Genomic DNA, 20,203 nt, shown 5'->3' on the forward strand with positions numbered 1-20,203 from the left:
TGGCCACCTCCTAAAAAGACAATATCTCCCTGCCTCCCTTGTAGGTAGATGAGGCTGTTATTAAGATGTAGCCGGTGGAATGCAAAAATTATTATCACGTGGCAGATTCCACAAATATTCTCTCAAATAATCATGGCAAAGTCTCTTTCTCCTTTCACCCTTTCCCAATGGCTGGAATGCAGACAATGCCAGCCTTCAAAATAGACACTAGCAGGAGAGCAACAAGATGAAAAAGAATGTCTGTCCCATGAACACACTGAGCCAAGCCAGTTTATAAGCCTACTTAAGAACATTTAATTGAGAATTGTGTATCTTATTTTCAGCACTTTTAATTGGAGGTCATTGCAATTTACATTTGAAACTAATTGCAATTGATTCCAGGTTTTTTTTTTTTTTTTCTTTTGGAACTGAGTTGCTTCAAGTAACAGAACACGTATCATTGGCTTAATGGAAGTTGTCCAGCAGCAGATGGCAAGGATTGACATTACAGACTAGAATTTTGTAACCTTATAATGCAGTAGCAAAATATGGTAAATCTTTCCTGTTACCTGCATATGGCAAATCAGGCACTGGTAAAGTAGTAGAATAAGAAGCAGTTATAAGATATTGCTACAGTTTAATTGTATTTCTCCAAAAATCGTAAGTTGAAGCCCTAATCCGTGGTGCTTCAGACTATGACTATATTTTGACATATGGTCCTTAAAGGAGGTAATTAAGTTAAAATGAGGTTATTATGGTTGGCCCTAATCCAATATGATTGATGCCCTTATAAGTCAGGAGGAATTTAGGACATATGCAGGGGGAAGGCTATTTAAAGACACAGGGAGAAGATGGCCATCTAAAAGCCAAGAACAGAGACCTCAGAAGAAATAAACCCTGCTGACACCTTGATCTTGGAATTCTAGCCTCCAGGATTTTAATAAAATGAAGATATATTGTGCATTAACTACTCTTGCCACCATTAGGTAAGTTTATAAGAAAGAGAGTAACTTAACTTGTAGATAACCACCTGCTGAGAGAGATGAAGAGGGATGCAACAATTAAGTCAAAGAAGGCCTTCTCTGAAAGCAGCACACACTTATTCACTAACAGCAGACCAGTAATATGGCAAATTGCTGGGTTGAAAAGCCAACCACTGCTATACCTCACAGGGAAGCAGCTCTAAGCAGTGGTTCTCAATATGGAAGCTTAGCAGGAGGTAAGGATATACCTCAGGTCTTTTTCCAGGATTTGTCATTATTAGTTCTCAGTGAAACAATGGAAGCCCCACTGGGTAAAATATATAATTTAAGTTGCTACTTCATACCAACGCCCTCTTTTACAATTACTTCTAGCTAGGAATAACACAAATAAGAGAGTTGGGTGTGAATGACACCTAAACCACATAGATCTCCAGTCTTTAAGACGGAGATAATAAGATGATTGGCAGTGTTGGAAGGAAATCTTCCCTGGATTTCTTGGTGATTTGACATGGTCTGGACCGCCCAAGCAATAGACATTGTCAAATTATAATGATAGAACACGCATCCTCTTCTTTTCCCCCACAACTACCTCCTCTTTGGGTTCTAAGGGTGGTAGATATGAAGTCTTTTGTCTCCTTTTTCACCAGAGACATCTGTTCCTTCTTCAAAAGATATGAGAGCCTTTCTATTATCTGCATGATTCAATGTTTACATTCTTGGTTGTAGAATTTCTTCTCTTCCACCAACAGAAGATCTTTGTACATTCCAAAATAAAAGATAAGCACCTTTTATAAGTCCAGAAGCATAGATGGTTGGCTCCTATGTAAGCTTTAAAATTCATAATTTTGGAGTTTCTCTACTGTGGTAGAGACCCCTCTATGTGCAGGGTACGTTTGGCTTTCCTTACATAGCCCTATGAAGGACTGAGGTATGGGCAAATAGCAACATCACTAAGGTATTCTGTGAGTCAGTAAAAAGAGGTTTTTTGTTTTGTTTTGTTTGCTTTTGGTGTGTTCTTGATAATCTCTGGTGTTTCTGCTAGTGTATTTGTGTGTATGTGTGTATCTATTGAACTATATTTCTATCTTCTATTTATCCAATCTGTATGTATATACATATCTATATCTATTTATCTTACTATATAATCTACCCAGTATCTATCTATCTATCTATCTATCTATCTATCTATCTATCTATCTAATCTAAACAAGTAGTGTAACATTTTCAACTCTTCACAGTTTTACACCTAAGAGATGTATATGTGGCAGCAAGGATATGACACAAAGCAAACATGTAAGAATTGTACTAAGTAATTTTTTTGAGAATTGTATTGAAAAAATAAAAACAACAAAAACGTAATCAAATAATATTTCAAACCTAGCCTGAAACTCTTCAAAACAGTCCATAGGCCAGCAAACCTACATCTATATAAGTATCATTTTAAAGCTTTTCAGCCTCTTAAAAGGACATCTGTTCCATTGCCTACTTCACATGTGGACAGAGCACATAATGGACAAAAATAAACCTTCCAGAAAGAAGGATCCAGAGGCCATAGAGAACAATGAAAAAGGTAATTCCTGCCAGAGAGTAAATCCAGCCACTAACAGATGGTGTAACATGAATTAACTACACTGCCAGCAAAAGGAACCTTCAATTTCTTCCCAGACTAATGATGGCCTTGTGTTTCCCGCTCCTCCTTTTTCTAAATGCAGGTTTTGAAATGTGTTACTTATTACCTCAGTACAATTGTATGGTAAATGTGTTAGGGATATATAACTTGAATTTTAATTTACAGATGTAAAGTAAATTTTTCTACCTACTTGTATAGGAGATATTAAAGCTGACTCTGTGTTTTAACACAACCATTATAACCAACAAAATCTCTTAAAATATAATAATATTTGAGTGATATCACTATGCCAGAACCTCACTGGCCTGACCAGAGAACAATGATTCCTGTTTTATTAAATAATTATTTGTGCACAGAATCCTGGACTCCTCCCTTCCTAACCAGAGAGCTTCTTTTCAATCTTCATTGGCATAACTAAGCATCAGTAACATATACTTCCCCCCTTTCTAGTGGTTAGATATCTCTGATTTGCATTCTTAGTGAATCACTGATTTTATTCTACTGGTGTATCTCTTTGCCTGGCAGGTTAATAAGCCTGGTATTCTTTTGTCATTGGATGTTGTTTTTTTTATTGTATGCTTCTTTAAATTACTGAAGGCCATTGTTTACAAAGGTCACAGTACAACAAGGACTTACATCTTGATCTGATAAAGAGGACTGTATATTATATAGGGATCTTGGAGTTTGAGTTGAATGAAATAATAGATTAGGGCTTTAGAATATTTTCTCCCCTAAGAATGAGATTAAATATATAGAATAGAAAAATGAATACTGTGCTTGCAGAGATTTTTTTTTAATGTTTTATTTTGCTAGAAAGCAGGTTTCACCACGTTGCCCAGGCTGAACCTTGAACCCCTGTGCTCAAGCGATCCACCCACCTTGACCTCCCAAAGTGCTGGAATTACAGATGTGAACCACCATGCCTGGCCTGTGCTTGGGTACTGAAGTTGCAAAACAGATAGACAGATTTTGGTAGAAATCTAATATATTTTATTTGATATCATTAGATCATCATATATTTTGCTGCCAATGAAATGCTTTTTAGCCCCTTTTGCCAGGTATAGCTTTGCAAAAAAAATTATGACCACTGGGAAGCGAGTGGAGGTGCATGCAGCTCTCAGGAACATTCTATAAATGTTAGTTGGCATGCTACATTTGTCCTTTCTTATTTGATCTGCTCCTTCCTGATGACTGGAATTAATTAGATGGCCATGTTGGATTCCCCAACTTGGAAGTGAGTTGACTTTGGGAATGTAGGCTACGTAAGATGATTGATATAAATGTAAGACATTTTGTGCTTCGTGGAGAAGAGCATCACATTGTACTCAACTTCTATACATTTGAATATTTCCATATAATAAATAAAGTTGTATTTTGTAAAGCCATTATTATATCTGCATTCTTCGTTATTTTAGTCAATCCTAATCATAACTGTTTGCCAATCTAAACTATTAAATTGATAACCTCTCAGACAACTATTTCAACTTTTTCTGATTCTTTCGGACACCATTGGAAGTTTTTTCCTGCACAAAACATGTACGAAATAGCACAGCCATAATTAGAAATTTACAGGCACATCTATAAATATCAACTGAGATTTAAAACTTAGAACTCTTCATGTCAATCACAACATCCTTCCTCATTCTCTAAAATTTACTGTACCTACTTTTTATTTCTATAGGGATCTCTACCTACCAAAAAGCAATCATCTATTACTAATGTTTATTTACCTAAATTCTTTTAGCATTTATGTTTTATACCATGTATTTTGTTACTTCTTAGCACAAGTGAATTATATTATAAAGTGGTTTCATAATATTTTGTTACATTCCTTTGGTAGTTGTAAAAACATGGCAGCACTCATCTAAACTAGTAATAGACACAAATTCTAGATTCTATTTATTGAGGTATATTGCAGGTCAAATACTATAATAGTTCATTTAATTTCCAAACTATCATACAAGTAGTTCATAATAATGTATAGAGTTGAATACTGACCTCTTTCAAATTTTACCACCCAGAATATGTGAGGGTGACATTATTTCAGACAAGAATGTCTATAGATCTAATTAAAGCAAATACCTTGAGCTGAGATAATCCTAGACTAGGTTGGGCCTAACATCCAATAAGAGTATCTTTGTAAGAGACAGAAGATGGGAAGACATACAGAGACACACTGAGGGGAAGGCCATGTGGAGAAGGAAGAAGAGATTGGAGTTATGTTTCTAACAAGCCAAGGAACATGAGGGTTAGCTAAGCCACCAGAAGATAAGAAAGAGGCACTGAACAGACTCTCTGAGCCTCCAAAGGGAACCAGTCCGGCTAACACTTCATTTTGGCCTTCTGGCCTTCAGAACTTTGAGACAATACATTTTTGTTGTTTTAAATCACCCAATGTGTGGCCATTTGTTACGACAGCCCCAGGAAAGCAATACAGATTTTGTTACCAGGAAGTAAGGTGCTGCTGTAACAATTAACTGCAAATGCAGAAGGTGATTTGGATTTGGGTAATGGACAGAAGTTGGTAGAATGTGGAGGCACCTCTTGAAGAGATATTGGCAGAAACATGAATATTAAGACTATTGTGATGAGCCTCAGAAGGAAGTGAAGAACACTGTAGAGAATGCTTCTCACTTCTTAAAGAACACATACTTTTTTGAATAGATGTCAGTAGAAAGACAAACATTAAAGATCTTTCTGGTGATGTCTCCAAAGAAAATGAAGAACAAGTTATTGTAAACTGTAACAAACCAGATCCTTGCTAGAAAGTAGCAGATATTTTAGCTGAATCATGTTCTACTATCAAGTAGAAAGCAAGACTTGCAAGGTTAAACTTGAATATATAACTGAGAAAGTTTCAAGTGAGGTGTTGAGGGTGAAGTATGGTTTTTCCTTGTTCCTTATAGTAAAATATAAAAGAAAAGAGATAAACTGAAGATGAAACTTCTGTGTGAGAAGGAATCAGCACTTGATGATGTGGAAGATTCTTAGCATATCTACGTTGCAAAGGATGGAAGAATTAGGAATTTCACTGTTGGAAGAGCAAATTCTAAAGAGAGGGTCAAAGGTATGGCTGAACAAACTTTTGTTGAAAAAATTAGGTGTGTGATTCATGGATCCAGTCAACCATCTTAGGAGAAGCCAGAAATAGAAATGGAGTTATTTCAGAAATGCACAACCTTTTTCTAATGGTGCAGATCACTTCATACATAGTAGACCCACAATGTTTTTGAAAATGTTATATAAGCATAAACATTGGCAGCTTGGATTGAAAGAAAAAGACATGTGATGGAAAGAAGGAAGATGAACAATCTTCTGGGATGTCAAAGGAATAAATTTTGCTGATAAAATAACTCAGCTGAAAATGTGCCAACCTTTAAATAAAGAAGAAATAACTACTCAGGTGCTGAAGGCAGTGTAGCCACTGCCAAGCATGGAGGAGAGAGGCATGGACTGCATTCTCCCAGAAAGGACCAACCCTACTGGTAAGTAGATTTCAGATTTACAGTCTCTGAAACTGTGAGAGAATGATTTTCTGTTGTTTTAAGATACCCAGTGTGTGATAATTATTATGGCAATCCTAGGAAACTGATATATAGAATATTCACTTTACATGTGGGTGCAACAACCCTTGAGAAGTCTAAATAACATCATCATGGTCACACAATTATTGGGTAATAAAGTCAGCTTTTGCACCAAAGGAGTCTGCTCCAGAGAATTAATCAATCAATGCAATATCTCATGGGACATTTTACTTTTTTAGAAAGTTCAAAATGTAATTATGGACTGAAGAGACAATCAATTGATTCATTTAGTTTGTGGTCATTCCTATCAATGTTCTCCAGATACAGAATTTTCAGGCAACCACAATCCTTGCAGGAGCTGTAGCATGAATATGACCAGTATACAAACCATAATATTTATGACCAGAACCAAAGTATCACCAATGAAAGATCACAGAGCAACCTCAATCATAAATGGTACTACCTTAATAGAATTAACATGAACACAGCCATGTGAAGACCAAGAAGCCGGAGACTATGAGTTTGCCATTTTCAGCTTTATGAGGTTTTCGGTGCTAGTATAAAATAAGAAACTGAGAAATGTGTTGCAGTAGTAAGACATTGTATTTCAGGCTTAGATATCTGCAACTGCACTGAGTCAAGCACTAGAGGATTACACTAGGTATATTAGTAACCTCACCAAGATTTTTTAAAATGACCATCATTACACAATTAAATTATACAATTAAATACAATACAGTAAGATATAATATTTGACTATATTATTTTACTATATGATGCATATATAGTAATAATACCTTCTTGATGTGTTAAGTTCTAGTTGGGGAATGCTAAAATTGAACAAAATTGAGGATGAAGGAGCAATTGTAGTATTCTTCACAATTATAAAAGCAATTATTATCAGACATATTTGTATGTAATATGCAATCTGTGCTAGCAAACATTAGGAAGCTCTAAGTCAATTGCCTTAAAAATAATATATATTTTATAAATTTACACACACACACACACAATTTTTTTTTGAGGTCTGGCAATCTAAACCCCTCATTTTGAATAGAGGAAACTCAAAGCACAAACTCACCTATTTAGATTAGGATAAAGTTTTGCTTAGAATAAAAATTCCTGATTTTCTTTCAGCTCTTCTTTCCAATATACAGTCTCTATACATTTGGTATGTTACAAGCTCCAGAATTCACTTTAGTGATACAAAAAATAAACTTGGCTTAGTATTTAACAGTTTATTTTATCCTTCTCATCAAGAAGCCTGCCCTTTTTTTTGTTGTTTTCTTAGCTAACATTCATAAAAGCAACATCAAAGAAGGATATTAATGTGTAGAAAAATGTTCTTACATACTTGCCTAAATTATGTATTTGATTAAAACTGCTATAACAGCCATGGCTTTCTAACCAGTAAAATGAATCTCATGCATCAAGGTAATGACTAGACCTTTAACATGATATATTGTAAGCTACAATACCTGTAGAAATGAGTGAGGAAAGAATAATTACAAAGGAAGTATGTGTTTGAGGAAACAACTTTTGCAATTAGAGGCCTGCATTTAAGGAATGCCAGCGTTTCTGTGTTTCCCCTGGATATTCTTGGTAACTAGCACAGTGTTGTAACAATTTTAAGACATTACAAATTAACATATGTGACCATGAGAATTTATCTATGAGGAATATTTTTAAATTAATGACTCTTCATGGTTTTATATGTATATTCAAAACATAATAATCAACTGGGCACAGTGGCTCACGCCTATAATTCCAGCTCTTTGGGAGGCCAAAGCAGGTGGATCACCTGAGGTCAGGAGTTCAAGACCAGCCTGGCCAACATGGCAGAACCCCATTTCTACTATAAATACAAAAATTAGCCAGGCGTGGTGGTGGGCGCCTGTAATCCCAGCTACTCGGGAGACTGAGGCAGGAAAATGGCTTGAACCTAGGAGGTGGAGGCTGCAGTGAGCCGAGATGGTGCCACTTCACTCCAGTCTGGGTGAAAGAGTGAAACTGTCTTTAAAAAAAATAAAAAATAAAGAAAAAATCATAACAATCAATTTACTTACAAGTTAGAGGCAATTTATTTTCTAAGGCCAGCTTATGTATCTCAAATTGTTTTGACCTCCACAGTAACTTGATTCTATAGCACTGGACATCAAAGCTGAAAAATATGTAAAGAAAATGCTTTAAGAATATGCAAGACTCTCTGTATTCTGTGCATCATTAATTCAGCCTTCCCAGAATATTTGGTTGACACATCTCTATGAAACTTTGAAATCTCTCACATATTATAATTCATAACCAAAGAAGATTTCTCTAAACAAAATTCTATCAGGCCAAAGATAGTAACTCTCTGGAAAAAATAAAAAAGCCCACATCCTAATCAGCATTGCCTAAGAAAGAGAAAATGGTAGGCAGAATGAGAAATAAAATGGTTTAAACAATAAATTTAGTTCCAATCATTCAACGTGACTTAATGGTGACAGAATGGAGTCAACTGCATTAAACAAACAGACCTGGTAGCTCATAAGTTTCTAAATACAAGAGCAAAGCCAGCACTGTAATGACATTTCTTGTTACAGTCGTCCCTCAGGATCTGTGGCAGACTTGGTTCCAGGACCTCCTACAGATACCAAGATTCACAGATGTTCAAGTTCCTAATATAAAATGGCATAGTATTTGCATATAGCCTACACACATCTTCCCATATACTTTAAATCATCTCTAGATTACTTATAATGCATAATAGAATGCAAATTCTATGTAAATAGTAGTTATACTGGATTATTTAGGAAATAATGGCAAGTAAAAATGTTTGTACATATTCATTACGGATGCAATTTTTTAAAGCATATATTCAGTCTATGATTAAATATATTCAATTCAATACTGGTTGAATCCATAGGTACAGAATCCACAGATACAGAGGATAGATTGTATTTATATTGTAGTTACAGATTATAAAATGCTTTCATAAACATACTCGCTTTTTAACTTTAATCATTACAACAACCTTCCTAGGTTGGCAAGTCGAGGACTCTTTTTGACATTATTGAAATGAAAACAACTTTTAGGGAAGGAGGGACTCAATTAATAGTTAGCTGAACTGCAATGACGAGAGTCATCACTCAATACTAGGTATCGTCAATCCTGTAATCTCTTCACTACCCTAACTTGCAGTCATTGACATGATAATGCAGCCTGCATGATATTAAAGGTAAACCAATTAATTGTATTCCTCAGCTACAGTTTACAGGAATATATTTGAGAGGGTTATAATGTTTGTGATTTTTGAATCTGGAAATTTGTTTTAAGCTGATACCGTCTCTCAAAATATGACTCTTTCCACCAGATAAAAAATATATTATTCTTTCCACCAGAAAGAAGAAAAGATATTATTTTCCCTAAAGGGTAATAGATTTTTGAAAAGCCAATTACATGCAAAAACAATGATCCAAATTAACATATTTAGAGAATATTCTGAACAAAGCTTCTAAGATTAGAGAGACTGATAGTAGCTAAGCATGTGGTAATACAGATAAATTTCATTATCTGTTTATTGAATGTGGATTTTTCAGATTGTTCAAAAAAAGCTCTTTGAAAAGTACACTTAAAGGGAACAATATGGGGAACAATATGCATCACAGTTGAAAGAATCCAAACTTGTAATTAACTAATACCAAGTATATGAGTATAAGCCTTGAGAAAATAAAGCAACATATTTATACAAATTCATAATGAAAGAAGAAACAGCAAATATGAAAGAATATAAATCAGATCAAATACATTATTTTATTTATACTTGGCTATGGTCACTTACTTAATTCTAAGTAATGAGAAATTGAATACTTTGGCTTCAATTCTGTTCTTTTTTTAGTGTTTGTCACTAGAAAAAAAATTCAATCTGAATCTCTAAGTAAAATTGTACATCAATGTACACATTATATCCAGCAGCCTATTCATATTTCCCTTGAAGGTGCCATTGACATCTCAAACTCAAAAATTATCATTTAAGTTAATTATTCACCCTGTCTCTCACAAATGTCTTCTCCTATGATTGCATATTTTAATGAGAGGCACTACTATAATTCATCCAATTTCCTAAACTCCAGTTCTTTGTGGCACCCTTTGATTTCTTCTCCTCCCATATTAGTCATAGCCAAGATATTACCAAATCCCATCTTCAATGTTCTCAATAGTTTAAAATCCACTTCATTTTCTCCACCAAATTATTATGTCAGTTAATACCATTACGATATCCTGTTTAAGTTACTAATCTTCCCCAACTCTAAGTTTTCTATTACTCTCTAATTATTTCTGCACTCTACCGTAAAAGATGATTTTTTTTTGAATCCCAAGTTGATCATAGCACTGCCTAATTAAATCCTTTTTATCTTTCCCCATGGCTCTCTGCATGAGCCCGATGTACTTCAAGCTTACCTGTCATCATCTTTCACCAGCTACCTGCATAATGAGTTTAGGAGGAGTTAAACTGTTTGCACACTACACCTAAGCAGTGCAAAAACCACTAGTTTGCTCAAGGACTTTGGGAATATATTTTCATTTATAATTCTCATCTCTTCTCTTCTGTCACTTTACTTACACTCAAACAATTACCTGTCCTTTCTTCGGTAAACCTTCATTTTCTCTGCCTAGATTAGACTCCATGTCTGATTAGACTACCTGTTCAATTATACCTTCATACAGGATGCTTTTTTACGTTTCCTCACAAATTACTGTACTGTGTAGAAATAGCCTATCGCCTTCTCTATCTCTCAACAGGACTGTGAGTTTTGGGATGGTACATAGTAAGTTTTTCACAGTCACTACATTCTCAAAATCTTCCCATTTCAGTCAGTTTATTTTTAGTTTTCATAAAGTTTTGAGTGTAAAGCCTCATTAATCACTGGCATCAACAGTCATATGGACTAGGTGGACTATCTTTAACAATGAAGCACATTTCAGCAAAACCTATAGCAAAATGATGTGTTTTCCACTTTTATCTCTGTTTATAAAAGCTGTGGCTAAACAAGATAGATTCTTAAAGTCAAGAAATCATAGATAGAGTTTCAGAGACAATTGCTTTTAGGGGTGGGGGTTATTGAAATCAATGTGTCTGACAATATAATGAGGGATAACCTGACACAAAAGGATCCTAAATAAGTGTCCTCGGTCTCTGTCCTTTTTTTCAAAATAGTTGAACCAACGTAAGTCACCTATCCAATGTGCATGTTTTTCTTAGTCAAACTCAGTTTTAAGACATTCTTCAAAATATCTGGCAACCTTACGACCAGGAGCAACAGAAGCAATCTGGAAACTTCAACTCACTGCCAAGTAACATTGAAGAATTCAAAATGGATATTATATCATCTATTTATATATGCATATTATTATATATACTATATATACATTATATGTAATTGTAAATTACATATATAGTACACATGCATTATATTAATATATTAATTGCATATGCATTATGTGTGCACATGTAAATGTTCATGAATGTATTGCTGCCCACATCACTAAATTAGACTCAATATCACTGAAGTCAAAACACCTGGAAAAAAATAGATTCCACCACATTTTAAAGACCTAAAATAATAAAATCAATTATACTACTAAATCAATTCTTCTATCTTCATTTTATTTTCCCCCATGATGGTGGACAATTTTGTTTCCAATGAATAATTAAGTGAATTTTTTGCAGTAGATAATTAATGCTTTCTGAATATTTCCTATCAGTATTCTACAATAAGGCATACTGACTTACCTATCACCATAAGTATTAAACCATATGCTGTAGGCTAGAATATTTATATTAGTATCTTAATAAAAACTTCCAGAAAATTATCTACATATACAGCAAAATGCATCCTTAGGGATCCCCTGCAAATATTTAAAGGTATCTTTTGTGCAAGGAAAATAAGATAGTAAAAGTCTCATATGTAAGTTTTTAAAGAGTTAGAGTATACTCTTAGCACTCTCGTCTTGATATTAAAGGCTTCCAAAAGAGCCAAGCCTCTTTGACATTTAAAATTGTATTTTTCTTCTCCTTCTAGAGAAACTGCTTACATATGGTTTCACTTGTATTTTTAAGTCTTCTTATCTGAGGTATACACTTGTAGCACAGCATGTTTCTAAGGTCTGAGTGCATATACAAAGAGTGTCTATAAATTAAAAATATAATAAAATAAAAAGAGAAAGATACCCCATATTTCAATTATTCTTATTTCTTATTTCTCCAATTCAAAACCAATTGAAAACTAGCTTATTTTCCAAGTTTAGGATATCACTAATTATTTGGTTTGGAATACCATATTATATTGATTTGAAAAAAATACAGCATAACTCTAGAGTCATAATACTTTTCTCTTTCTTGTGACAAAAATCCATGTTAACAACCAATGGTGAGGGTCTTTCTTCTGCTTAAATAATGTTTTAAGTTTCTTCTATATTATAATTGAGGACTAAGCTATTGATTCTACTCAATGTTTCTTCTACAAAATTAATATAATTTCAGTGGTGTGATGAGATACTGAAATACAGCAAAGAAGCTTAATTGTTTTGGAGAAAAGGATAGGCTAAAGCCTTCTTACCACTCCTACCCCATGACTAGTGGTCAGCCTGAGCATGGTGTTAATAAGGGTTTTGAGGCTGAGAGTGGTAGTTCTGGGGAAGGGTGTCTGGATCAATTAGTGTTATTTATTTACAGCTCGAAGATAAATGCTTAGATTACCTGGTACATGGTGGCATTATAAAAGTGCGGATGATGATTTCTACTTTATAAACATGATGATAATACAAATTATTTTTTATTACAATTTTTCTCACTAGTTTAATTAAAACAGATTTTGATTTGATTGTGAATAGTAAAAATGACAGGATAAAAAGCCTGCATGTTACTTTGTTGGGGCTCAGAGAACAATACCTCAAAATGAAAGCCACAGAAGCAAAAGTTTATCTCTGACCTTCTCCTGCCCTCCTGTCTCTCAGTTCCATTCTCCCCCAAGGATAGGCACAGAAACAAAAATCCTTCTTCCCCAAGGTAGGTCATAAAAACCAGAATCCGTTTTCCCCAGAGCCAACCATAAAACCTAAAAATATTACTCTAACATTCCCTCTGCCTTTCTGTGTAAAAACTGGCCATAAAAAATTATCTGACCTATCTTGTTTGACTGTAGGTCATAAGACTTCCATTCCAGAGAAGGTCCTGCCCCAGACTCGCAGGGAAGAAATGTCACTGAGAGAGGCCAAGAAGAATCTGCACAGAGAGGTTTTGCTGGGTTTCCCCACTCACAGCATTAGATCATATCCTTTCTGTCCAATCATACTTCTACATGGCTATCTATATTTTGTTGATCCTAAGTATAAAAATAGACCATTTCCCCTGTATATTTGGGTCTTTGTTCTGAAGGCTCTCATTTATACATATTAAATAAATTTGCATGTTTTTTCTCTAATTAATCTGCCTTTTGCAAGTTGATTTTTCAGCAAACCTTCAGAGGGCCAATTCCTCTTGGCCCCTTCAATTTCAATAAAGAACATAATGCTAGACATGAAGAAGATTATTCTTTAAAAAAACATGTTTGGGATACAGAAGAGATTTTGTATGTTAAATTTTATGCAAACAAACTCTGAGATAGAAGAGACATTCTAAAAGAGGAGAGATAGCAGCTGACCCAATGAAGGCTGGGGGAAGGAGTGGCAAAGAAATCTGTGTTTCCAGTTGGCCAAGATTATGAGAACAATGAAATAGATTTTTAAAAATGGAAATAAAAGTGAGTCTAGGATATGGAAAAGATGGAATTTAGAGGAAAAAGAACATAATTTTGGGGATAATTGTACTCTACAAAAAGGAATGTTGACACCTCTGATTGTAAAGTATGTAGAGATAAATTGGTCAGGTATATACAAAGATATATAATGGAAATAAAGGCAAGAAATAAAATAGAAAAGGAAAAATCAAAATAATGAGTTTATTTCACCTATAAAAATCCATTTATAAATTAAAAACATATGAAATGTATTACATAGTATAAAACTGCATATTAATAAATTCTATATACCAATGGAAAACTATAATCCAGGGACTGTATAGTATTGCTAATTATTACAATACATCAAGCAGATAGGAATCATCATTTTAATTTTATGGATGATAAACTGAGGTTCCCTGAAGTCATTTACTTAAATAGTATGATTAGTAAATGGTAGGAAAGAGGTTTCACACCTTAATCTTTCTGACAGTCCATGAGATCTGCAGATCTTCATGGTAAACTTCACCATGTGATTTTTAAGCATAAATAAACCTTCATAAAGATATTTCAGTCAGCATAATTCGAGCTCAAAAGATTAAAGCTATTTCACTATATTTCAACATTATATTTCCCCAGAGGACAATTTAAGAAAAATACATAAGCTGTAGTAATCAAACCAACGAAATTGATTGAATTATATTATTGAAGAGTGTATTTATTTTTTCACTCACATAGTTTTGACCCAGCATTTTTGCTGATATATTTTAGAAATCTAGACAAGACAGCTTTAATTGATGTTACACTTTAATAAAAGAGCCCTGGTTCTTACATAGCTTCCCGGAAAATAATCATTTTAGAGGATAGGTTTGTGTGAATTTTTATGAATACTTCAGAGACTACCTCATCAATTTCTCTGTTGGCTTGATGACTAAATTTGATTAACTGGATAAAGATTTAATTCTGTTTTCTCAGTTGTAATGTTTTGGTTTTCTTCTCTAAAGGCATTCCTCGTATTCAGTTTGTAAATGAAAATAGAATATACAAGTTAATGTGCAATGTGCTTTTAAAGCACAATTGTTTCTAATTAAAAAATTTATTCCTACACCATCATAGGTAGACAGACAGAAATTTCACAGAGAGACATCTGTCAAATTTTGATCATCTTTCCAAGAAAATAGCAGTATTCATGCCATCACTGTCTTCCTGCCTTTATAATGCATAACAATCAGCTAGCTTCCACCATTCTAATTCCAGTAGAGGTAAAAACATATTGCTGGGTTTTAAGACGAATGCCAATCATCATATTCACATGATATTACTATAAAAACATACATTACTCAGCCTGTGTCCATCTGCTATAAGTCAACTGAATTAGATTTCAAAGTTCTATTGCAATTCAGAAATGTTTCATGTCTTTCGGTTTATTTTATAGGACCACACACCGTTAACTATTACAGTTAATCATTATTAGAATGTCATTCTGAATAGGGCTATAGCACACAAAAATGGTGAATAAAAACCCACCTCCATAAGCTAAACACTTTTTCTTTATCAAAACAGTTATTTGTGATTTTATTGTTTATAAATATCTTTGTCATTTACAGGTTTTCTCTGTTTTATATGACTTTAATCACAATCATAAGAAAGATTGTGTATATGTCATATACATTATTGAGGAGGAAACTGTGGCAGAGTTAAGTGAAGAAAAAGTCATATAATATAAAAAGCTGCTTAATATTGAGGTGAGACGGCCATGGGCACACTTAGGCTATACTATAACTCTGTATAAACAAGCATCCATGTTTCAATCTTTTCTTTGAGGAAATAATGTACCTTTTTATGCCAAAGGACATTTCCTCCACCTGTGCTTTATACCTCTATTCTTTCCTCTGCAGGGATTCTGCTCCATCTGTAATTCATAGTCTATTGTATTTTTAATGTTTCCCTTTTTCTGCCTGCTTCCATCAAAATATTAAAATAGTTGATGTTCATCCATCATCAGAATAATCCTCCTTCCAGCCTATGTTACTATGGAATCAGCTATCATTGTCTTTCATTGACATCTTTCTCTTTCATTCACAATAACTCTTGTAGAAAGTTAAATATGTCATTGCTTTTGCTATTATTCAATATTCCATTCAATATTTTATGTGCTTAACTTTGTTTACTACTCCTGTCCAGTTCCCACACTGAGAAAAGTTTGAGGATAGAGATAGAGAGGTAGAGATACAGATTTGAGAATCATCAAAATTTAAACGATTTTTGCAGCTATGTGAGGGAAAGACCATCTCCCAGGGAAAATGTATGGCATGAAAAGTCCAAAGGGGAAAAGTAGTAAGCTCAAAATGCATTAGAATTTAAGAACAAGGCAAAGATGTTGGATAAACATGGCTAGAAGATTTATAAGAAAACTAGGACAGAGTGCTAAGGAGAATAGTGAGAGATCAGAATAACAACAAGAAAGAGTGGACAAAAGCCGAAAATGCCACAAAACTGTTAAGTAATTTTGACTATACCAACATGAAAGTTATGAGTGACTATTTTTACAGAGGTATCTGTGGAAGGATAGGGGTCGAAGTAAAATTATATTGCTTTGAAAAGTGAATAAACGGGCAGTGAGGATGCAGACATAATATTTTCATAGTTATATTTCAACAAATCTGGCTGTGCTGAAAAGCTGCAGAAAAATAGCTATGGCATATGGGCTTAAGGCAAAATTGTGTTTTAAAATAATAGCATTTCTTTACATTAGCATAGCATATAGACACACATACATATAGAAAGTTTATTCACATTACTTTATCAGCTTTCTGCTATTTTATTTACTTTTTTTCCCGATTTTTCAATTTGTTAATTTTTCTCAGAGTTTTTAATAACTTAATGTCACTATTTTGGAGAAAATAATTCAAATTGAATCTAAGTTTTCTTTTCTTCACACATAATATTGAATGCCCTTTCTCTCTCTCTTTATACATCACTTATGTTTTATACTTTTTGCTTTTCAAAAACTTTTAAATAAAAATTTTCTTCAGGCTGATTATTAATTACATTTAGTCCTCAAATTCAAACAAAATAATTTTTAATCAGATAATTTATGTTTATAATTTGTGTGAGTACATAACTGAACATATTTCACATTTATAATTGTATGTTTTGTTCCAAACTGAAAATATTTGAGCTAATTCCATAGGCAAGAATACCTAGAATTAAAACTCAATGGAGGTCTGCAAACATAACTCTACATAATCAAAAGAAATATTTTTAAAAAATGAATGTACATGAATTCAATTTGTCCATTTGATTCTGCACTTATTTGGTTATCAGAAAGATGCAAAATGATATTTAGACATATGATGTTAACCTCTATCAATTACTGTTTTAATGATAGGAGGACTTCCCTTATTCAAACTCTTGCAATATTTTGACATTGTTGTTTGAATAAAGATTAACCAGTTCAATATGTCAAAGTAAAATTTTTCCTTCCACTAAAGATTTTGCATTATATGTGCCATATTTCTATACAATAATTGATAGACAATAATAGAATCTTTCAAAAGCAAAGAGGTATTGGTAGCTTAAATTCTTAGTGGGGTAGGGTTGAAATGTAAGGTTCTCATAGAAATTAATTTTTCCTTGTACTCATGAAAAATTTCTAATTGTTAACATTATTTCAGGTAATTTATATATTTAAAATGAAAACCTTTGCTATGGTAATTTTATTGAATTACTGATTCAGTAAATGAAAAGCACATTGCATATTATTAGTTATAGTTTCAACCATAATTATTATATTTTAATTATTAAATTTCTAAAATAAAATGAAATGCAGTTTTGGACTTACTTTTTCTAATGATAAAAATTTTAATAGAAACAAAAAAGTGAAAAAAAGCTTTAGAAGACTATTTTAAAATAATTTGAGTTAATTAAATATGTTTTTAATACAACTAATAACATTATGTAGGGTTACAAAAGTCAAATGAAGGCTGCTTATTTAGTAACAAATATATCCCTTTAGTAGACAAAACTTAGATGACTCATTTCTATTACTAAAATATGTATCAGCTCACATATAGGGTGGATACACATCTCCATTGCAAATATAATCTCTTAAACTTTTAGACTTTGCAGATTAGCATGAAAGCAATACTAAAATAAAATGGCCAAATGTTGAAAATGTTTAGATATTTGTATTCATTCTATAAGTAGCTCAGGTAGTATTTTTAAAGTGCCTAAAAATAAGTAATAAAGAAATAATAAAGGGGAAAATTGACACAATGTTTTTTTTTGAAAATTGACACATATGGGAAGTAATTCCCATTATAATTTTAAAACTTAATTTTTAAAAAGAACAAGCTGTCCACAGTATTAGAGAATAACTCAATATTGCTTTATGGTAAATCTGCAAAAATGGCCACACATTCTTCCCCCTTTTGTGTCCATACTCACCTCTGTGAAACTTTGCTTTCCATTATGATTGTGGGTCCAGTCATGTGACTTGCCTTGTTCAATGAGATGTCAATGAAAATGACAGTAACAAAGGCTTGAAAAGTTCTTACATAGTGTGATTTGTCCTCTTTCTTGCTGTTTTGGGATTCCTATGAATACTATTCACTGAAGAAGCCCAGGCTGGCTTGTTGAAAAATGAAAAACAAATGGCCCAGGTACTTTCATTAGGAACAGGGCTGCCCTGCTGAGAGGCAGCGGGCCCCAGAAAAATGAGTGAACCCACTTGAGTCTGAGAGCAATCAAAGTACCAACAAAGAATTAAAAGATACACAAATGTTATATTATGTATCACAAGTTTTACTGATACAAAAATTGGTTCTAGGAGTGGGGTGCTACTATTAAAAATATCCTAAAACATTTGGCATTGGATTCAGGATCAGGTTTTGGTTGGCAATACAAAAGAGTCTAGGAAATTGTCAGCAAAGACTTGATACTATCCCAAACAAAACAATAAAAAAAAAAATTGAACTACGAAAGCAGAGAGTAAACTGCTAAAGTAGATTTGCTAAATGGTGACCCAGATTATATAGTTGTGGAAAAAATGGTAAAAACTGTTCCCTGTTTTAAATTGAAATATAAAACAAGTGTAATGTACTTGTAGGTCTTTTTTTTTTTTTTTTTTTTTTTTTTTTTTTTGAGACGGAGTCTCGCTCTGTGGCCCAGGCGGGAGTGCAGTGGCGCAATCTCGGCTCACTACAAGCTCCGCCTCCCAGGTTCACGCCATTCTCCTGCCTCAGCCTCCCGAGTAGCTGGGACTACAGGCGCCCGCCACCACGCCCGGCTAATTTTTTTGTATTTTTAGTAGAGACGGGGTTTCACCGTGTTAGCCAGGATGGTCTCGATCTCCTGACCTCGTGATCCGCCCGCCTCGGCCTCCCAAAGTGCTGGGATTACAAGCGTGAGCCACCGCGCCCGGCCTGTAGGTCTTGATAAGGTGATTTTTCTGGAATATGATAAAAAGTGCCAGTGGACATCTATATACTACGTATGGTAATGCTCAGAAAGAGAAGGATGAGTTATTGGCGTGCATTGGAAATTTAAACTCATTCTCAATCCCCATTTTTCAAACCAGAAAGGAAGTACAAATGACCTCAGGTTAAAGATCAAATCAAAAGTGTAGCTGCAATACACTTGGTTGAGACCTTTGAAAGATTTTGTCAGTGAGTGGTATAACCTCCCAGCTAGAAAAAGAAAGGAATACATAAAAAAAATAAGATTAGTATTACACTAGCCTGGCCACCCAAAGTAGAAAGAAGCTTACCTTAAAAGGAATTGTAAGTGTGGTTTTTAGGTCATAGCAAGGACCCAAATAAGAAATTTGCAATGTTTTTAAGGGAATTGTCCTGCCATCTGAAATTGAAAGAGACTAAGTTTAACACCAAGACAGGACTGTACGGTTTTAACTTTCTATCTTTTGTAGTCAGAATTAGAAAGCTCTTCAGCTACAAATTTAAGATATTTTTTAATGAAAATGATCCTTTCAAAGATTATAGCCATGGGCTAAAGATAATTATGGACTACATTTGATGTTCTTAAACATATTAGTCTCAAGACTTCTTTGTTCTCATATATATTATTTAGGCTCCAGAGAGCTTTTCATTCTTTTGATTCTTTTATCTCTCTTATTTACCAATTAGATATTAAAACTGTGAATTGAAAATGTTTATTTAAAACAATAATAAACCTACTAACTGATATCATTTTGCATTTTAAGAAAAAATAAACATAATAATTTGAGTAGAGAAAGTAGCATTGTTTTACATTTTCAGGTGCTATGGTTTCAATGGGTCCACTAAAGTTCAAGTATCTGAAGCTTAATGT

The 20,203-nt window shown here is 33.7% G+C and overlaps 1 protein-coding gene across 5 annotated transcripts in view; it reads right to left on the reverse strand.

Moving 5' to 3' along the window:
- The window catches only part of CDH12 (cadherin 12), a 1,102,672-nt gene that overhangs the window by 646,402 nt on the left and 436,067 nt on the right, over nt 1-20,203 (reverse strand). For 3 of the 5 annotated variants that reach the window (NM_004061.5, NM_001364105.2, XM_047416602.1), the window contains one exon: nt 8,183-8,277. The exons of the other annotated variants lie outside the window; for them this stretch is intronic. The gene's annotated coding sequence lies outside the window, so the exon portion shown is untranslated. The remainder of the gene's footprint in view (nt 1-8,182; nt 8,278-20,203) is intronic. 5 annotated transcript variants of the gene reach the window in all.

Source organism: Homo sapiens, chromosome 5, assembly GCF_000001405.40.
Source record: "Homo sapiens chromosome 5, GRCh38.p14 Primary Assembly".
Classification (NCBI taxonomy): Eukaryota; Metazoa; Chordata; class Mammalia; order Primates; family Hominidae; genus Homo; species Homo sapiens.